This window comes from Homo sapiens, chromosome 14, assembly GCF_000001405.40.
Source record: "Homo sapiens chromosome 14, GRCh38.p14 Primary Assembly".
NCBI classification, from domain to species: domain Eukaryota; kingdom Metazoa; phylum Chordata; class Mammalia; order Primates; family Hominidae; genus Homo; species Homo sapiens.
In genome coordinates, this window is record NC_000014.9 from 67489038 (window position 1) to 67504095 (window position 15058).

Sequence of the window (15058 nt, forward strand, 5' to 3'; positions counted from 1 at the left end):
GAGGCTCCTTTGAGGACTGCAGGACCTGAACCAGAGTTTCTTGGAACATATGAATGAATGATGAGCCCTTATAGCAACTAACATATGGATGGAACTTAGATCATCTCTCATGATTTTCTCAGGCTCCTGAGGGGCAGGAAGGGCAGAAATGGTCACCTCTATTTTAGAAATGAAAACACAGAGGGTTCAGGACATTAAGAGATTTGGCCAAATCCAAACATTTGATTCAAATCCCAGTCCTCAGCCTCCAGAATCACCCTGTCCCCATACAATGTGCCTTCGAACTGCTTCCCACCCAAATCTCATCCTTAAGGCACATGTCTGCATGCAAGGGTCTTCAAGTCAGTGTAAACTACTTAGTCCATTCCAAGTAAGCTGCTTATTTTGCAAACTTATAGCTGAGTTTGTCCATGCAGCTTCTGGTCAATATGCCTGAGACGCTGCTGGGAGCGTGAAGAAGCAGAGACCACCGGCCTGTTTCAAGCACTGTCATCTCTCCTGCCCTCCTCTGCAGCCACCATTCTGACTCCTTCTTCCAGACCCTGCTCCCTCCTCACTCCTTTGCGATGCCGTCCCACAACCTCCAGGTCATTCCATCACTGATGTTCCCAGGGGGATCTGACCATCCTTCAACTGAAACATGTCATCCCATCTTAAAATTCTTTCTATGTAGCCGGGCGCGGTGGCTCACGCCTGTAATCCCAGCACATTGGGAGGCCGAGGCGGGCGGATCACGAGGTCAGGAGATCGAGACCATCCTGGCTAACATGGTGAAACCCCATCTCTACTAAAAGCACAAAAAATTAGCCAGGTGTGATGGTGGGCACCTGTAGTCCCAGCTACTTGGGAGGCTGAGGCAGGAGAATGGCGTGAACCTGGGAGGCAGAGCTTGCAGTGATCTGAGACCACGCCACTGCACTCCAGCCTGGGCGACAGAGCGAGACTCCGTCTCAAAAAAAAAAAAAAAATTCTGTCTATGTGTCTGTTTCCCCCACCACGCTATGAATTTCTTGAGATCATAAAATTTCTGCTGGATGGATGGACAGGCAAGGTGGAGAAGGGCCCAGCTGCATTTAAATTCTTGGGCGACTGAAACATCCAATGTTACTAATCAAACATAGCAATGTCTTGTGTTTTTCTCTAATTTATAGGCCACCATCACAGATGAGCCATACATGTTGGTTTACTAAAGGCAAGGCTGTCTCTGCAGGTGAAGGAAGCAAGGAGTGTGCTCACTCTCCTTTCTCCCATCTCCAGGAGCCATTGCACCACCAGAGAATGAAGAGAGGCAGAGTGGGCGGCCTGGGTTTGCACAATACAGAAGGCATGTCCAACATCACGCAAGGAAGACTGGGGCAGGAACAGACTGTTCCAGGCATCAGGGGAGATACTGCAGCCTCCTATGTGGGCAAGGGGCCAAGCGCAGGTTCAGGTCAGAGAATAACAACTCCTGTTCTGTTATTTCTACAATGTGCTGGCACTCTCAAAAGCCACATCAGTTTTCATGCACATAGGATTCACTTCCCAAAGAGGCTACTGGCAGGAAATTCCCTTCGCACCATTTTCTCTCCTTTCCTATAACTATTTAAGGTAAGCTGGGCTTGCAGGATTGAGTCTCTGCTTCTCTGACCAGAACCTAAAAATCAGATCTCTCTCCCCGGCCCCTCATCATCTCCTTGGCCTGGAACCTAACACTGGAGCCAGAAAGCATGCAGGCAAATACTACCTCTGTTTTTTTACCCCCACTCTCCTTTTCCTTAACACTCCCCAAATCTCCCTGTAAAGGAAAAAAAGTTTTTTCCTTCTGCTCTCACACTCAAAGCAGAACACTTCTGTGACCAGATATGGGGTGGGCGTGGAGGGGGGCAGATATGCCCCCCATATCTGGTCACATTTCTCCAGCAGACACCAACTGGGTCTCCTACAGTTCATTTAAACTCTGATGCTATCTATCCTGAGATAGCAGCAGATCCCACATTCTGAGGGCTCAGTCCCACAAGACTGCCCCCACTTCAGATGCCAGTCACAAGTAGATCGTCACCTATACTTCTGAACAATTGGTTACAAACCAGGGTTCCCATGACCGCCTCCTTGGGTTCTATTAATTTGCTAGGATGGCTCACAGAACCCGGGGAAACACTTACCTTTACTGATTTATCACAAAGGGTGCAGATGAGCAACCAGATGCAGAGATGGATAGGGTGACGTATTGGGGGGTCACCCACCAGCACCGCCACATGTTCAGCCACCCAGAAACCTATCAAATCTTATTCAAGAGTTTTTATGTAGCTTGATCTCCACCCTCCCACACCTTTCTTGGAGGTTGGAGGGTGAGGCCAAATGTTCTAATCCTCTAAGCATTTGGTCTTTCTGGAGACTGGCTCCATCCTGAGGCTGTCTAGCCCCTCCACCACCCCACCACTTCCCCAGTAACTTCATTAGCATAAACTCAGGTGTTATCAAAGGTGCTTATTATGAATAACAAAAGACATTCCTTTCACTCAGGAAATTTCAAGGGTTTTAGGAGCTCTATGACAGGGACCCGGGACAAAGACCGAATACATTTCTTATTACACCGCACCCTGACCCAGGTGCCCACAAAGTAGAGAAGATGCCTAAAGGCCCACTGGGGAGCCCTCTGGTTACTCAAAGCCCCCAGTTCTTCTCACGTGACTCAGAACAACCACTTTTACTTATCCTAGAGTAAGAAAAGCCCTGAGCACAAATGGATCTGGTAACTTCCTACACCAAGGAGGGGCCAAGCTCAACTACAAAAGCAATCAGTATTCCAGATTCCCTGAGGGGAAAGCCTGTGTCTGTCCAGCTCCCCCAGGAAGCAAGGAGAGGCCCAGGCCGCGGGGGCCTGCCTGGCATGGGGAAGGTGCATGGAGATGGGAGCCAGGCCCCAACCCCACGGGGCCCTGTCCTTCCCCTCTGTGCCCCTTGCTCTGAGCTTGGAAGCTGCATTGCCCCACCTGCCTGACATCTCACCCCACTGTCTTCTGTCTCACTTGGAGGCCACCTGTCCTTTCCCTCTCCTCTCCCCCTTCCTCCTCCCCATCTAGCCCACTCTATCTCACATGCCCCTCTCAAAGTCCCCCACTGAGCAAACCCTGACCACCCAACTCCATCGCCTTGGAGGGTGGTCTCTGGTCCCACGTCTATTTCCTCCCATTCCCACCCCCGGCAATCAGTAGCTGCTGCTTGCTGCCTGAAAGGCTGGACAGCTGCTGGGCTCTCTAATTAGCTGCCTGGCCGCCGTCCCAGAGTGAGGCATGTGTTACTGTAAAGAGCTGCCTCACCTTGCCTTCATCAATAATCCCCTATGCAGATCCCATCAGGCAGCGGCTGAGAGGCCCTAGAATACTCTGCACATGAGACCAGCAAGCCTTCTCCTGTCAGTCAGAAAAAAGAGGCAGTGGCCTCACAGCCTCACTGGCAAAGTGACCAGGATTTTATCTGGGTTCTTCCCACTACTGCCCATGTCCTTAGGGTGTCCTGGAGGTTACCCTGCCACGCTGCACCTTCAGAAGTGATGGGGACCCTGCCCCTTTGTTGCCTCACCAGGGAGGCAGAAAGAAGCCCAGCAGGGCTTTCAGAAGACAAGCCTGGACCGCTCTTATGGTGTGACAACAGGACTCCGCTTTTCACAGCCTGTACAGCCAAGCCACCTAGAGATTTCTAAACAACAAGGGAACTTAGTCCAAGAAGTCCTGTGGTAGCTGGTTTATTTATTCAAGGTGTTATATTCCAGCAGTCAACAAATATTTACTGAGACCCAGTGAAGGCCAGGTACTGTACCATGTGTGAACAAGACAATGTTCCTGCCCCCTTGGAGCTCACAGGCAGGTGGGAGATCAGCAATAACTAAGCAGCTCTAAACATACTATAAGTTTTAATATTATGCCATGAAGATGGGGAAGGCCAGGTGGGGGAAATAAAGAAACCCGATGCTGGAAGGTGAGTCTTAAATGTTAAGGAGGTAGCATTTGGGCATAGGTTAGAAAGATGAGAAGAAGCCGTGCAAAGAACTTTGGGAAAAGCATTCCAGGCAGAGAGGACAGTTAGTGAAGAGACCCTGAAGTAGGAGAAAGTTAGACAAGTTTGAGAAACAGCAAGGCCAGAGTAGCTGGTGTTAGGCACAGTTTATCTTCAAAGGTTTCAGTTCCTTGTTCTTTGTTCTATTCTGAAAGTAATCTTACCCATCCATCTATCAGCCCTCCCTATCTCTGTTGCACCCAAACACGCCCAAGCATATGCCATCACCTGTGTACTTGTCTTTCCCGCCAAGTGCCCACCCTTGCCTCCTTTGATGATGTCAACAGTAGCCAATCGGAATTAGTTTAGATTGTGCGGTCCAACCCCAGCCAACACAGGGAGGACACAGGAACAGGGTCTGTGTTAGGGATAAAAACCCCTGCTCTCCTTTGTTCAGTGTGCTCTCGTGATCGTAACTGACACAGGCCGCACCCTTCTGCAGGAGTAAATTGCCTTGCTGAGAAAACTTTTTCTGCCTGAGTGCTGGTTTCACTTTGCGACACCAAGCTTTATTTCCAACACTGAGGGTCAGTGTGCTTTGGATGCTGTCAATACCCTGCCTGTTGGGGTGAGCATCAGGCCCCAGCCTGGCCAATCACAGCACCACATTCCCCTGGTTCTGTGATTGGTTCAGGGATGGATACATGCTCCAATCAGAGCCAATCCTGAGATTCTTGTTGGAATGGCCACAGAGACCACAAAAGAGGCATCCTTTTCTTTTTTGTTTTGGACTTGGAGCTATAAGGATGTCAGTCTGAAATTGACAGGGTAAGGCCAGGGGCAGTGGCTCACACATGTAATAAACTTATTTATTTATTTAAAAATAATTTTTTTTTAATTGAAGGATGAGAGTTGTTCTGGGGAATCTGTGACAGTTGCTGTCTGCTCTCCATCTGAACCAATCGGTACTGTTCCTTTCCTTAAGTAACAGTCCACAGGAAAGACCACCATGCACTCAGCTGGACACTGACCCCAGCCACACCAGGCACCTCCACCATAAGCCTTAAGCCCAACAACCCCTGCCCTTCACTCAGCCCCTTACTGGACAGCTCCATCTACTGAGAAAGCACCCAGTCTTGCTAATGCTTAAAATATGGCGCCAAACAGCACTTAGGCAAGAGTAATTAAAGGGAATGTTATCTCAGTCAGTCTCTCATTAACCATGTAATTAGACTGCTGAAAATAATTAACATTCCTTTTGACAAAGGATAAGAGGACCCATTACATTCATTAGGACAGCCTCAAACCAGCCTGAGAAAGGCCGAGAAGAGAATTTAGAAATGAGACCCAAAGAGGTTATGCAGCTTTCTCAAGGTCACAGTGCTAGTAAGGGCAGGGCTAGGATTTGAAGCCAGGCAGTGTGCCTGTGGGTTCTGTGCTCTATCAGAGAAGCAGCTGTGGGGGCTACAAGGTTTCAGCCAGCAAATCCAGGCACAGGAAGGGCCCTGAATTGGTGGTTATTGAATCTGGAGCAGCCAGGCCAATCGGCCCCGCCCCCACACACCATGCTTATACTCTGGACACGGGTTGAGAGGTAGGGGATGCCTAGACCAGCTCTTGTCAGTGCTCAGCAGGTACATCCCACCCTCCTGTCCACAGCCGGTGATGGCTGGCTGTGGTGCACAGAATCAGCATTCACAGAGAGGTGACCTGAAGACCCCAAGATCCAACAGAGGAACACAGAACGAAGGCTCGCCCAACATTTGACAAGAACCAAGGCTACAGAAGAAGCACCAAATTTTAAAAACAGAAGTGGCCAGATGCAGTGATTCAGGCCTGTAATCCCAGCGCTTTGAGAGGCTGAGGTGGGAAGATTGCTTGAAGTTAGGAGTTTGAGACCAGTCTGGGCAACATAGTGAGACTTTGTCTCTACATAAAAATTTAAAATTAAATAAAGCAAATGGGGCAAAATGTTAATCACAGGTGAATCTGGGTAAAGAGTATATGAGTGTTTTGTACTGTTCTGGCAACTTTTCTGTACATTTGAAATTATTTCTAAATAAAAAGTTTGGAGGCAAAAACATCAGGGACCCTCTTATTAGGACAGGGGGTGGGGCCCAGGAACAGACATGGAGGCAAATCCAGGGAGAACCACACTGGTCATCAGAGGTCTCCACTGGGCACAAAAATTCCAGCTCTGGGGTTTCCGCCTGCCAAATCCCTCCTGGAAACATTTCCTCTTCCAATTTGGCCCTCCTTTTTCTTGCTTCTCCATTGATTTACTCCCACCTCCTCCTCCCAGGATCAACAACCTTGCAGAAGGCATCCATCCTAATGCCAGAAGACGGGGTTAAACTTTGGAGTGTATCCGTATATGTAGTTAATATTTCCTGGAGATATTTTGACACCTGTTTTGTCCACAGCCCATAATAATGAGTCAGGTTACATTTGTTAAATCACAGCCTTCTGGATTTTTTTTTTTTTCAGATGGAGTTTCACTCTTGTTGCCCAGGCTGGAGTGCAATGGCACAATCTCAATTCAGTGCAACCTCCGCCTCCCAGATTCAAGCGATTCTCCTGCCTCAGCCTCCTGAGTAGCTGGGATTACAGGTGCCCCGCCACCATGCCCAGTTGATTTTTGTACTTTTAGTAGAGATGGGGTTTCACTGTGTTGGCCAGGCTGGTCTTGAACTCCTGACCTCAGGTGATCCACTCACCCCGGCCTCCCAAAGTGCTGGGATTACAGGCGTGAGCCACCATGCCCAGCCAGCCTTCTGGATTTTATATTTTATTTCCCCTAAAGTTACATGCTATTCCAAGTCACACTGCCTGACTTAGGCCTTGAGGCCATGTTCCTACCTTCTGATCTCTCAGGCAGGCTTTCTAGGGTAGGTGCCCCATTTCAACACCTCAGCACCATCACAGCCACCTAATTCCAAAGCAAAGCCCTCAGACACAGGCACAGCCTCCTCCTCAGGTTCACTGTCACAGCTGTGTGTGGCCATGTTAGATAACGCACAGCCAAACAGCTGAAAGAGTCTTTACCCACTGTAGTCCCAGCTATTCAGGACACTGAGGTGGGAGGATTGCTTGAGCCCAGGAGGGCAAAGCTGCAGTGAGCTGAGATGGTGCCACTGTACTCCAGCCTGGGTGACAGAGTGTGACCCTATGTCTTATTATTATTTTTAAAAATTTTGTATCTATTTATTTATTTATTTTGAGACCAGGTTATGAGACTGGCTAATTTTTGTATTTTTGGTAGAAACAGGGTTTTGTCATGTTGCCCAGGCTGGTCTCAAATTCCTGGGCTCAAGTGATCCACCCATCTTGGCCTCCCAAAGTGCTGGGATTACAGGTGTGAGCCACTGCTCCGGCGTTTTTTTTTTTTTTTTTTTTTTTTTTTTTTGAGACAGGGTCTGGCTCTGTCACCCAGGCTGGAGTGCAGAGGCACGATCTCTGCTCACTGCAGCCTCTGCTACCCAGGTTCAATAGGGTGTGCGATGACTCTTGAGAAATTAGTTTGTGAAGAAAAGGAGAGAGAAAAGCTGCTGGAAGAGAAGTAGACGTGAGAGAGGTGTCCTCCCTCTCCCTCCCTCCTTTCTTCCTATTCTTTTCCCTTCCCCTTTTCTTTCTTTCTCTCTCTCTCTCTTTCTTTCCTTCCTTCCTCCCTCCTTTCTTCCTATTCTTTTCCCTTCCCCTTTTCTTTCTTTCTCTCTCTCTCTCTTTCTTTCCTTCCTTCCTCCCTCCCTCCCTTCCTCCCTCCCTCATTTCTGTCTTTCTTTCTTGCTTGCTTGCTTGCTTGCCAGAGTTTCATTCTTGTTGCCCAGGCTGGGGTACAGTGGCGCAATCTCAGCTCACTGCAACCTCTGCCTCCCGGGTTCAAGTGATTTTCCTGCCTCAGCGTCCTGAGTAGCTAGGATTACAGGTGCCCGCCACCACACCTGGCTAATTTTTGTATTTTTAGTAGAGATGGGGTTTCACCATGTTGGCCAGGCTGGTCTCCTGACCTCAGGTGATCGGCCCGCCTCAGCCTCCCAAAGTGCTGGGATTACAGGCCTGAGCCACCGTGCCTTTCTTTCTCTCTCTCTCTTTCAAGATAAGAGAGACCTAAGGATGTTTAAATGGTAAGGAGAAATCACAGCGAGGGAGAGCTCGTGGGTGGTGTATATGCTGCGGGCACACACGAATGCCCTGGGTTGTCTGGGGTCACGGGAGGGCAGCACAGTGAGCATCCGTCCCGAGGTTAGGCCAGATGCATGTGTCATGGTCATCCCCTTTACAGAGAGGAGACCCAGGCACGTGGAGTTAAGTGTAACCTGCCTAAGGTCATACAAATACCGAGACACTGTAGCGCAGGCCGAGAACGCAGGTATCCCAGTCCTGGGCCCTCCTTCCAGTGCCGGGATGAGGAAGAACTGACGGGCAGCTCCGTCAGCACTATGGTAGGTGGGGAATGCCACAGATACTTACAAGTGGACACCTGGAATGCAATTCCCACGTGACCAACAAAAGAACTCTCCCACATGACTTTGGAACGTTCTACTGGACATCACAGAGGTAAAATGTCCATTTATAATTATCTATATCAAGATCCTAACTCCCTTTCTAAAATAAACACAGGCGGTTTTTGCACGATTTTAACACATGCTGAGTTGTCTAGGAACACCATTAGCATGCAAAATGGAGGGGATACTGTACTTTGTGTTCTTTTGAGCTTCACCAGGAATGGTTCAGCATTTTGGAAAGTCACGTCAACCCCAGCAGCACCTCTCCTGGTATTTGAGTCACCCACACAGTACACCTGTATCTTGTGGGTGTTTGTGTATGTTACATTCTCGGTGAGTCTATGTAAAGGTTCAAGCATCTGACTGCATCCTTCTGCCTTCTGTATGGTTGTGCCCAAGCAACCACATATTAGAATACATAATGATGTATTGCTGGGGCTCAGAAACCAATACCTCAAGGTCTCTCTGACCTTCTCCCCACTACCCGTCAACACTCCCAAAGGAGGTTGAAGTTCTCTGAAGTTCTTTTATCTGCCTAAGATCCAGAACCGCCAAAGAGAACAATTGTTTTTTCTTCTCCTCTGTAAGACCAAGAATGTAACCACACCTGAAAACCACCTGAACGCCTTTACAGATTAATCTCTGTTCCCGATCCATTCATTCCTCCCTCATAATCTTTTATTACCCATCAACAGAATTCCTCTTTGCCCCTCTCCCATACCTGGTTTGCCAAGACGTTCTATAAGCTTCTGAGCCACGATGGGGGGTGGGCAATCACTCTGTGGTTCTCCCTGTGCACACATTAGTAGAGTTTATATGCTTTTTCTCCAATTAATCTGAGTTTTGTGAGTTGATTTTTCAGCAAACCTTCAGAAGGCAAAGGGGAGACTTTGCTTTGACCCCTACAGTATTATAACTAACTTTCCCTTTATTTCTTTCTCCTTTAGAGTATGGTTGAGGCATTATACTGACTCTTAAAAACTTATATTTGCAAATATTTACTAAATAAAAGACAGGGCTACCATTTCAGATAATGTGCCCTAAAAGCAAGGGAAACTGCAATGCCAAGAAAGACGAAGGAATGAGCAGAATTAGGGTGGCTTCAAGTGATCAGTCTCCCAGAATAAAGGCAATGTGTTTTGTTGTTGTTGGTTTTCCTTTTTAAGACAGAGTCTCCCTCTGTCGCCCAGGCTGGAGTCCAGTGGCGTGATCTCGGCTCACCGCAGCCTCCATCTCCTGGGTTCAAGCAATTCTCCTGTCTCAGTCTCTCGAGTAGCTGAGATTATAGGTGCACACCACCATGCCTGATTAATTTTTTTTGTATTTTTAGTAGAGACAGGGTTTCACCATGTTGGTCAGGCTGGTCTTGAACTCCTGACCTCAGCTGATCCACCCACCTTGGCCTCCCAAAATGCTGGGATTACAGGCAGGAGCCACTGAGCCCAGACAAGGCAATGGTTTTATTTATTTATTTATTTATTTATTAGTTATTTAATTTTAGAAACAAGGTCTTGCTCTGTTGCCCAGGCTGGAGTTCAGTGGTGTGATCATAGGTCACCATAAACTCAAACTCCTGGGTTCAAGCAATCTTCCTGCCTTAGCCTCCTAAGTAGCTAGGACTACAGGCACATGGCACAACACCCAGGTAATTTCTTAATTTTTTTGTAGATATGGGGTCCTGCTATGTTGCTCAGGCTGGTCTCAAACTCCTGGCCTCAAGTGATCCTCCTGCCTCGACCTCCCAAGGCACTGGGATTATAAGTATGGGCCACTGTGCCCCACTAATGGTCTTTTATTGATATCAACTGGGTACACAGACAATGTAGTCAACCTCTGGAGCTTAAGAAAACTATTCAGTTTGGCACCTTTGGGAAATTTCATTTCCCTGATTAATTCAAATTACACTATATCTCAGCATTTTCCAGCATAGTGACAATAGGTAGAAGACCACAGGTTATCTCTACAGGCCAGGGAAATGATAAATGTTTCAATGTCTGGAGGCAAAGATGTGTTTAGATGAAGTCAAATAAATAGGTGCCAGGCTTGGTCTGTGGAATATCTTCCTTAATGGACAAGAAGATGAGTAAACAGTATGTAAGAGGATGCTTTAGTATATTTATGGAAAATGCTATATCGTGAGGAAGCATGGACAGGAATAGGGGCAGAGAAGTGATGATCCCAGAAGACCTCCAATAGGTTAAAAAGGCAGTGCCAGAAATACTTATGGCTCAGACTCTGAGAAGGGCTGGTTATTTAATGGTGGGGGAAAGGCAGCCTCAATTCCCACAGGCATGACCATCACTGCTAAACAGGGACAAAGGGTTAAAAAAAAAAAGTTATGCCCTTCAATTGACGGGATAGCTTATTCATCCTCCACCATCTGAAGACACCTGGGGGCTGCGGATTAAGGAGGGGAGTGGTCTCCTGGCCAGTGGAAGGTCCAGAAACAGGACTTTTTAGGCCTGGCTCTACCATTGATACTTGTAACTCCCAGTCATAGCTCCTCTACAGTTTTTGCATCAAAAAAGTGAATAAGGGTACAGAGTCTCTGCCCGTAGTCCCAGCTACTCACGTGGGAGGATACCTTGAGCTATGATCACACCACTGCACTCCAGCCTGGGCAACAGAGTGAGACCCTGTCTCTTAAAATAAATAAATAAATAGAAAACAATAGGCCATATGCGGTGGCTTATACCTGTAATCCCAGCACTTTGGGAGGCCGAGGTGGGTGGATCACGAGATCAGGAGTTCAAGACCAGCCTGGCCAACATGGTGAAACCTTGTCTCTACTAAAAATACAAAAATTAGCTGGGCATGGTGGCGGGCGCCTGTAATCCCAGCTACTCGGGAGGCTGAGACAGGAGAATCTCTTGAACCCGAGAGGCAGAGGTTGCAGGTGAGCTGAGCTCTCACCATTGCACTCCAATCAGGGCAACAAGAGTGACACTCCATCTCAAACAAAACAAAACAAAAACAAAAACACAATAGAACACTTTAGATTCCTTTATTGTGCGTTTCTGTGTTGCTTTTATGATTTTCCATGTGCATTTGGATTTTTTTTTTTTTTTTGAGATGGAGTCTCGCTCTGTCCCCCAGGCTGGAGTGCAGTGGCGCGATCTCGGCTCACTGCAACCTCCACCTCCCAGGTTCATGCCATTCTCCTGTCTCAGCTTCCCGAGTAGCTGAGACTACAGGCGCCCGCCACCACGCCCGGCTAATTTTTTGTATTTTTACTAGAGACGGGGTTTCACCGTGTTAGCCAGGATGGTCTCGATCTCCTGAACTTGTGATCCGCCCGCCTCGGCCTTCCAAAGTGCTAGGATTACAGGCATGAGCCACCGCGCCTGGCCTGGATATTTTTTAAAGTTTTAAAACATCCAGTCAAAGCAGCTATAAGAATTAATCGCAAATTGACTCAAATGAGTAGCTGCATCATCTTCCAGATGAAAGTAGAAGAACAAGGTTCATTTGGGATCCAAAGAAACATCCAGGTATAGAAAATGCCTCCAGGTATACTTGGGGGTTAATAATAATAATAATAATAATAATAATAATAATAATAATAAAGAAAATGCCTCTAGGAGCCAGCTGCTCTGCATGAGCTAACTTGGCCTAGGGGCAACAGGTCCCAACTAGCTTGAACGAAATGCAAACCTCCAGCAGGTACTCCCTGCCCTGAGGACACATCAGTTCATCCCAGAGTCATGGCAGTGGAGTTAGGAGAAACGGAGGGATTGTCTCACAGGCTAGAACTAGGGTGAGACAAGACATGCACTCAGCTCAGACACAAAATTTAAGGGAGTGCCAAAATATTTAGTAATCAAGATAAACGATACCTTATTATTTTTATTTATTTATTTTTGAGACAGGATCTTGCTCTGTTGGCCAGGCTGGAGTGCAGTGGCATGATCATAGGTCACTGCAGCCTCGACCTCCTGGGCTCAAGTGATCCTCCCACATCAGCCTCCCAAAGTGCTGGGATTACAGGCATGAACTGCTGCACCCAGCCAAGATAAATGATATTTTAAAAAATCAAGTTGGTAAGCCATGGCCACAGGCTATAGTTATATTGGAGCCAGGGCTGAGATTAGGGACAGGCCAATGAGGCAGGGTCCCAGGTGAGGTTCTGTTATGTTTGAAGAGCCCAAAGACCTGTCCTGCTCCAGTGCCAAAGGCATCTCTGTTGAGGAAGGTCGTATAGCACCAAAGTCCCCTATCTAAGAGCCTTGGAATTCAGAATTCTAAAGATTTTTTAAAAGGTAATGTAGAGCACATATCATAAATTACATAATCCTCACAGCAGGGTCTGGGGCAGCACCCACTAATCAAGCACATTCACGTTTCTATGGTGACATCTACGAATATTCATACTGTGCAATGTGAGCCTCTGTTAGACCAAGTCAGATTCTTCTGTCACTTGAGTGAAAGAAAATCTTTTGGTTTTATAGTGCTTCAGATTTCAAAATTGCAGATAAAGGACTGTGGGCCTTAATAGCATGACGTTAGGTCTCCTAAAGAAAAAAGGCAACAGACTGGGCACTGTGGCTCACACTTGTAATACCAACACTTTGGGAGGCCAAGGTGGGTGGATCACCTGAGGTCGGGAGTTTGAGACCAACCTGACCAACATGGAGAAACCCTGTCTACTAAAAATACAAAAATTAGCTGGGTATGGTGGCATGCGCCTGTAGTCCCAGCTACTCGGGAGGCTGAGGCAGGAGAATCACTTGAACCTGGGAGGTGGAGGTTGCAGTGAGCCGAGATCGTGCCATTGTACTCCAGCCTGGGCAACAGAGTGAGACTCCATCTCAAAAAAAAGAAAAGAAAGAAAAAAAAAGAAAAAAATGCAACAGATAGGACCCAAACTTTTGTTATAAACTTGTGCTGAAAAAAGAACTGCAAAGTCCTTGCTGGTGATCACCCAGAAGGTGATTTCTTTTTTTTTTTTTTGAGACTGAGTTTTGCTTTGTTGTCCAGGCTAGAGTGCAATGGCATGATCTCAGCTCACTGCAACCTCCGCCTCCGAGATTCAAGCAATTCTCCTGCCTTAGCCTCCTGAGTAGCTGGGATTACAGCCATGTGCCACCACGCCTGGCTAATTTTGTACTTTTAGTAGAGACGGCATTCCTCCATGTTGGTCAGGCTGGTCTCAAACTCCCGACCTCAGGTGATCCACCCACCATGGCCTCCCAAAGTGCTGGGATTATAGGCGTGAGCCACCGCGCCGGGCCCCAGAAGGTGATTTCTAAAGGTCAGTCAAGGCCAAAGCAGAGTGACCACAGGGCTTATTTCCCAGCAGCCAACCAACCAACTTTATTAAATACTTTCTGTGTGTAAAACCTTGTACAGGGTCCTGAAATGTATTAAGATTTACAAAACAAAGTTCCAGCCTTTGGGAGCTTAAAAATTAGTGGAGACAATATGGTAAGCAAAACAACCATGGAATATTAAAAACTGAAGGGATATCATCCGGACACACACTTTAAAGATGAAACCAATGTTCAGGGAAGTTGAGAGCCTTGCGTAAGTTAGCAGACAAGCAGATAACCGCACGCTAACAAGCAGATAGTGGCGCTGCACGGAGAGATCAGGATCTGTGTTTGCCAACTGTTGTTCACTGTCCTTTGCATAAAAGCACATAATAATTGTGACCTGGTGACAAAATGACAAGAGGAGTTAAAAGATCCTAACAGAAGTGGTTTTGGTTAAACAAACTTGCAGCAGAGATGGTCTCTGGCTTCTAAAAGGACTACAGTTTGGGTAGGCAGCAAGGCAGGTGAGTGCCCTTCAGGCAGTGGAACAACTGAAGCAGGGGTGGGCGTGTGTATGCCAGATTAGTTGTGCAAGTGGATTAGGCTCTAGGAAAGGGCATAGAAGGATTTCCTGGGGGCGCTGGGGAGATACGTTTGGAAAAGCGTGTAAAGGCTATGGAGAGCTTGAATGACAGGGCAAAGGACGTCAATTACCTCCTAAGGCAGCATTTCCCATCCCTGCATGCCACCTTCATGACTCGGCATGGCTGCCCACTGCCCTGCGGGAAATGACAGAGGGTAGCAGTTTAAAAGTCCACACTCTGGAGTCAGATTCTTTCCATTCAAATCCCAGCTTTGACACCAATTATGTGACTTGGACATGCTGCTTCACCTCTCTGCCTCAGCTTACTTTTTTTAAATTATTTTTATTTTTTATTTATTTATTTTTGAGACAGAGTCTAGCTCTGTCACCCAGGCTGGAGTACAGTCGTGCGATCTCAGCTCACTGCAACCTCCACCTCCTGGGTTCAAGCAATTCTCCTGCCTCAGCCTCCCGAGTAGCTGGGATTACAGGTGCTCACCACCATGCCTGGTTAATTTTTGTATTTTTAGTAGAGACAGGGTTTCACCATGTTGGCCAGGCTGGTCTTGAACTCCTGACCTCGTGATCTGCCTGCCTCAGCTTCCCAAAGTGCTGGGATTACAGGCGTGAGCCACTGTGCCCAGCCTATTTTTTAATTTTTATTTTTATTATTTTTGAGACAGGATCTCGCTCTGTCACCCAGGCTGGAGTGCAGTCGTGCGATCTCGGCTCACTGCAGC

General features: G+C 47.4%; 2 protein-coding genes across 9 annotated transcripts in view, besides 2 other annotated features; one reads left to right on the forward strand and one right to left on the reverse strand.

The window, feature by feature from the left end:
- The window catches only part of GPHN (gephyrin), a 1227209-nt gene that overhangs the window by 980891 nt on the left and 231260 nt on the right, over positions 1–15058 (forward strand). The window lies entirely within an intron of this gene.
- Positions 1–15058, reverse strand: part of TMEM229B (transmembrane protein 229B) — a 63582-nt gene that overhangs the window by 18769 nt on the left and 29755 nt on the right. For 2 of the 8 annotated variants that reach the window (NM_001348549.2, NM_001348544.2), the window contains exon 2: positions 14450–14514. The exons of 5 other annotated variants lie outside the window; for them this stretch is intronic. The gene's annotated coding sequence lies outside the window, so the exon portion shown is untranslated. Of the gene's footprint in view, positions 1–14449; positions 14645–15058 lie in introns of those variants that run through there. One more of the 8 variants, XM_047431037.1, reaches the window with a different exon arrangement.
- Positions 2365–2905: an enhancer, noted in NCBI's record as "H3K27ac-H3K4me1 hESC enhancer chr14:67958119-67958659 (GRCh37/hg19 assembly coordinates)". NCBI's record gives its function as "activates a minimal SCP1, AML or CMV promoter by ChIP-STARR-seq in naive H9 embryonic stem cells {active_cell/tissue: H9 hESC(naive)}" and the evidence as "EXISTENCE:reporter gene assay evidence [ECO:0000049][PMID:30033119]".
- Positions 2906–3445: an enhancer, noted in NCBI's record as "H3K27ac-H3K4me1 hESC enhancer chr14:67958660-67959199 (GRCh37/hg19 assembly coordinates)". NCBI's record gives its function as "activates a minimal SCP1, AML or CMV promoter by ChIP-STARR-seq in naive H9 embryonic stem cells {active_cell/tissue: H9 hESC(naive)}" and the evidence as "EXISTENCE:reporter gene assay evidence [ECO:0000049][PMID:30033119]".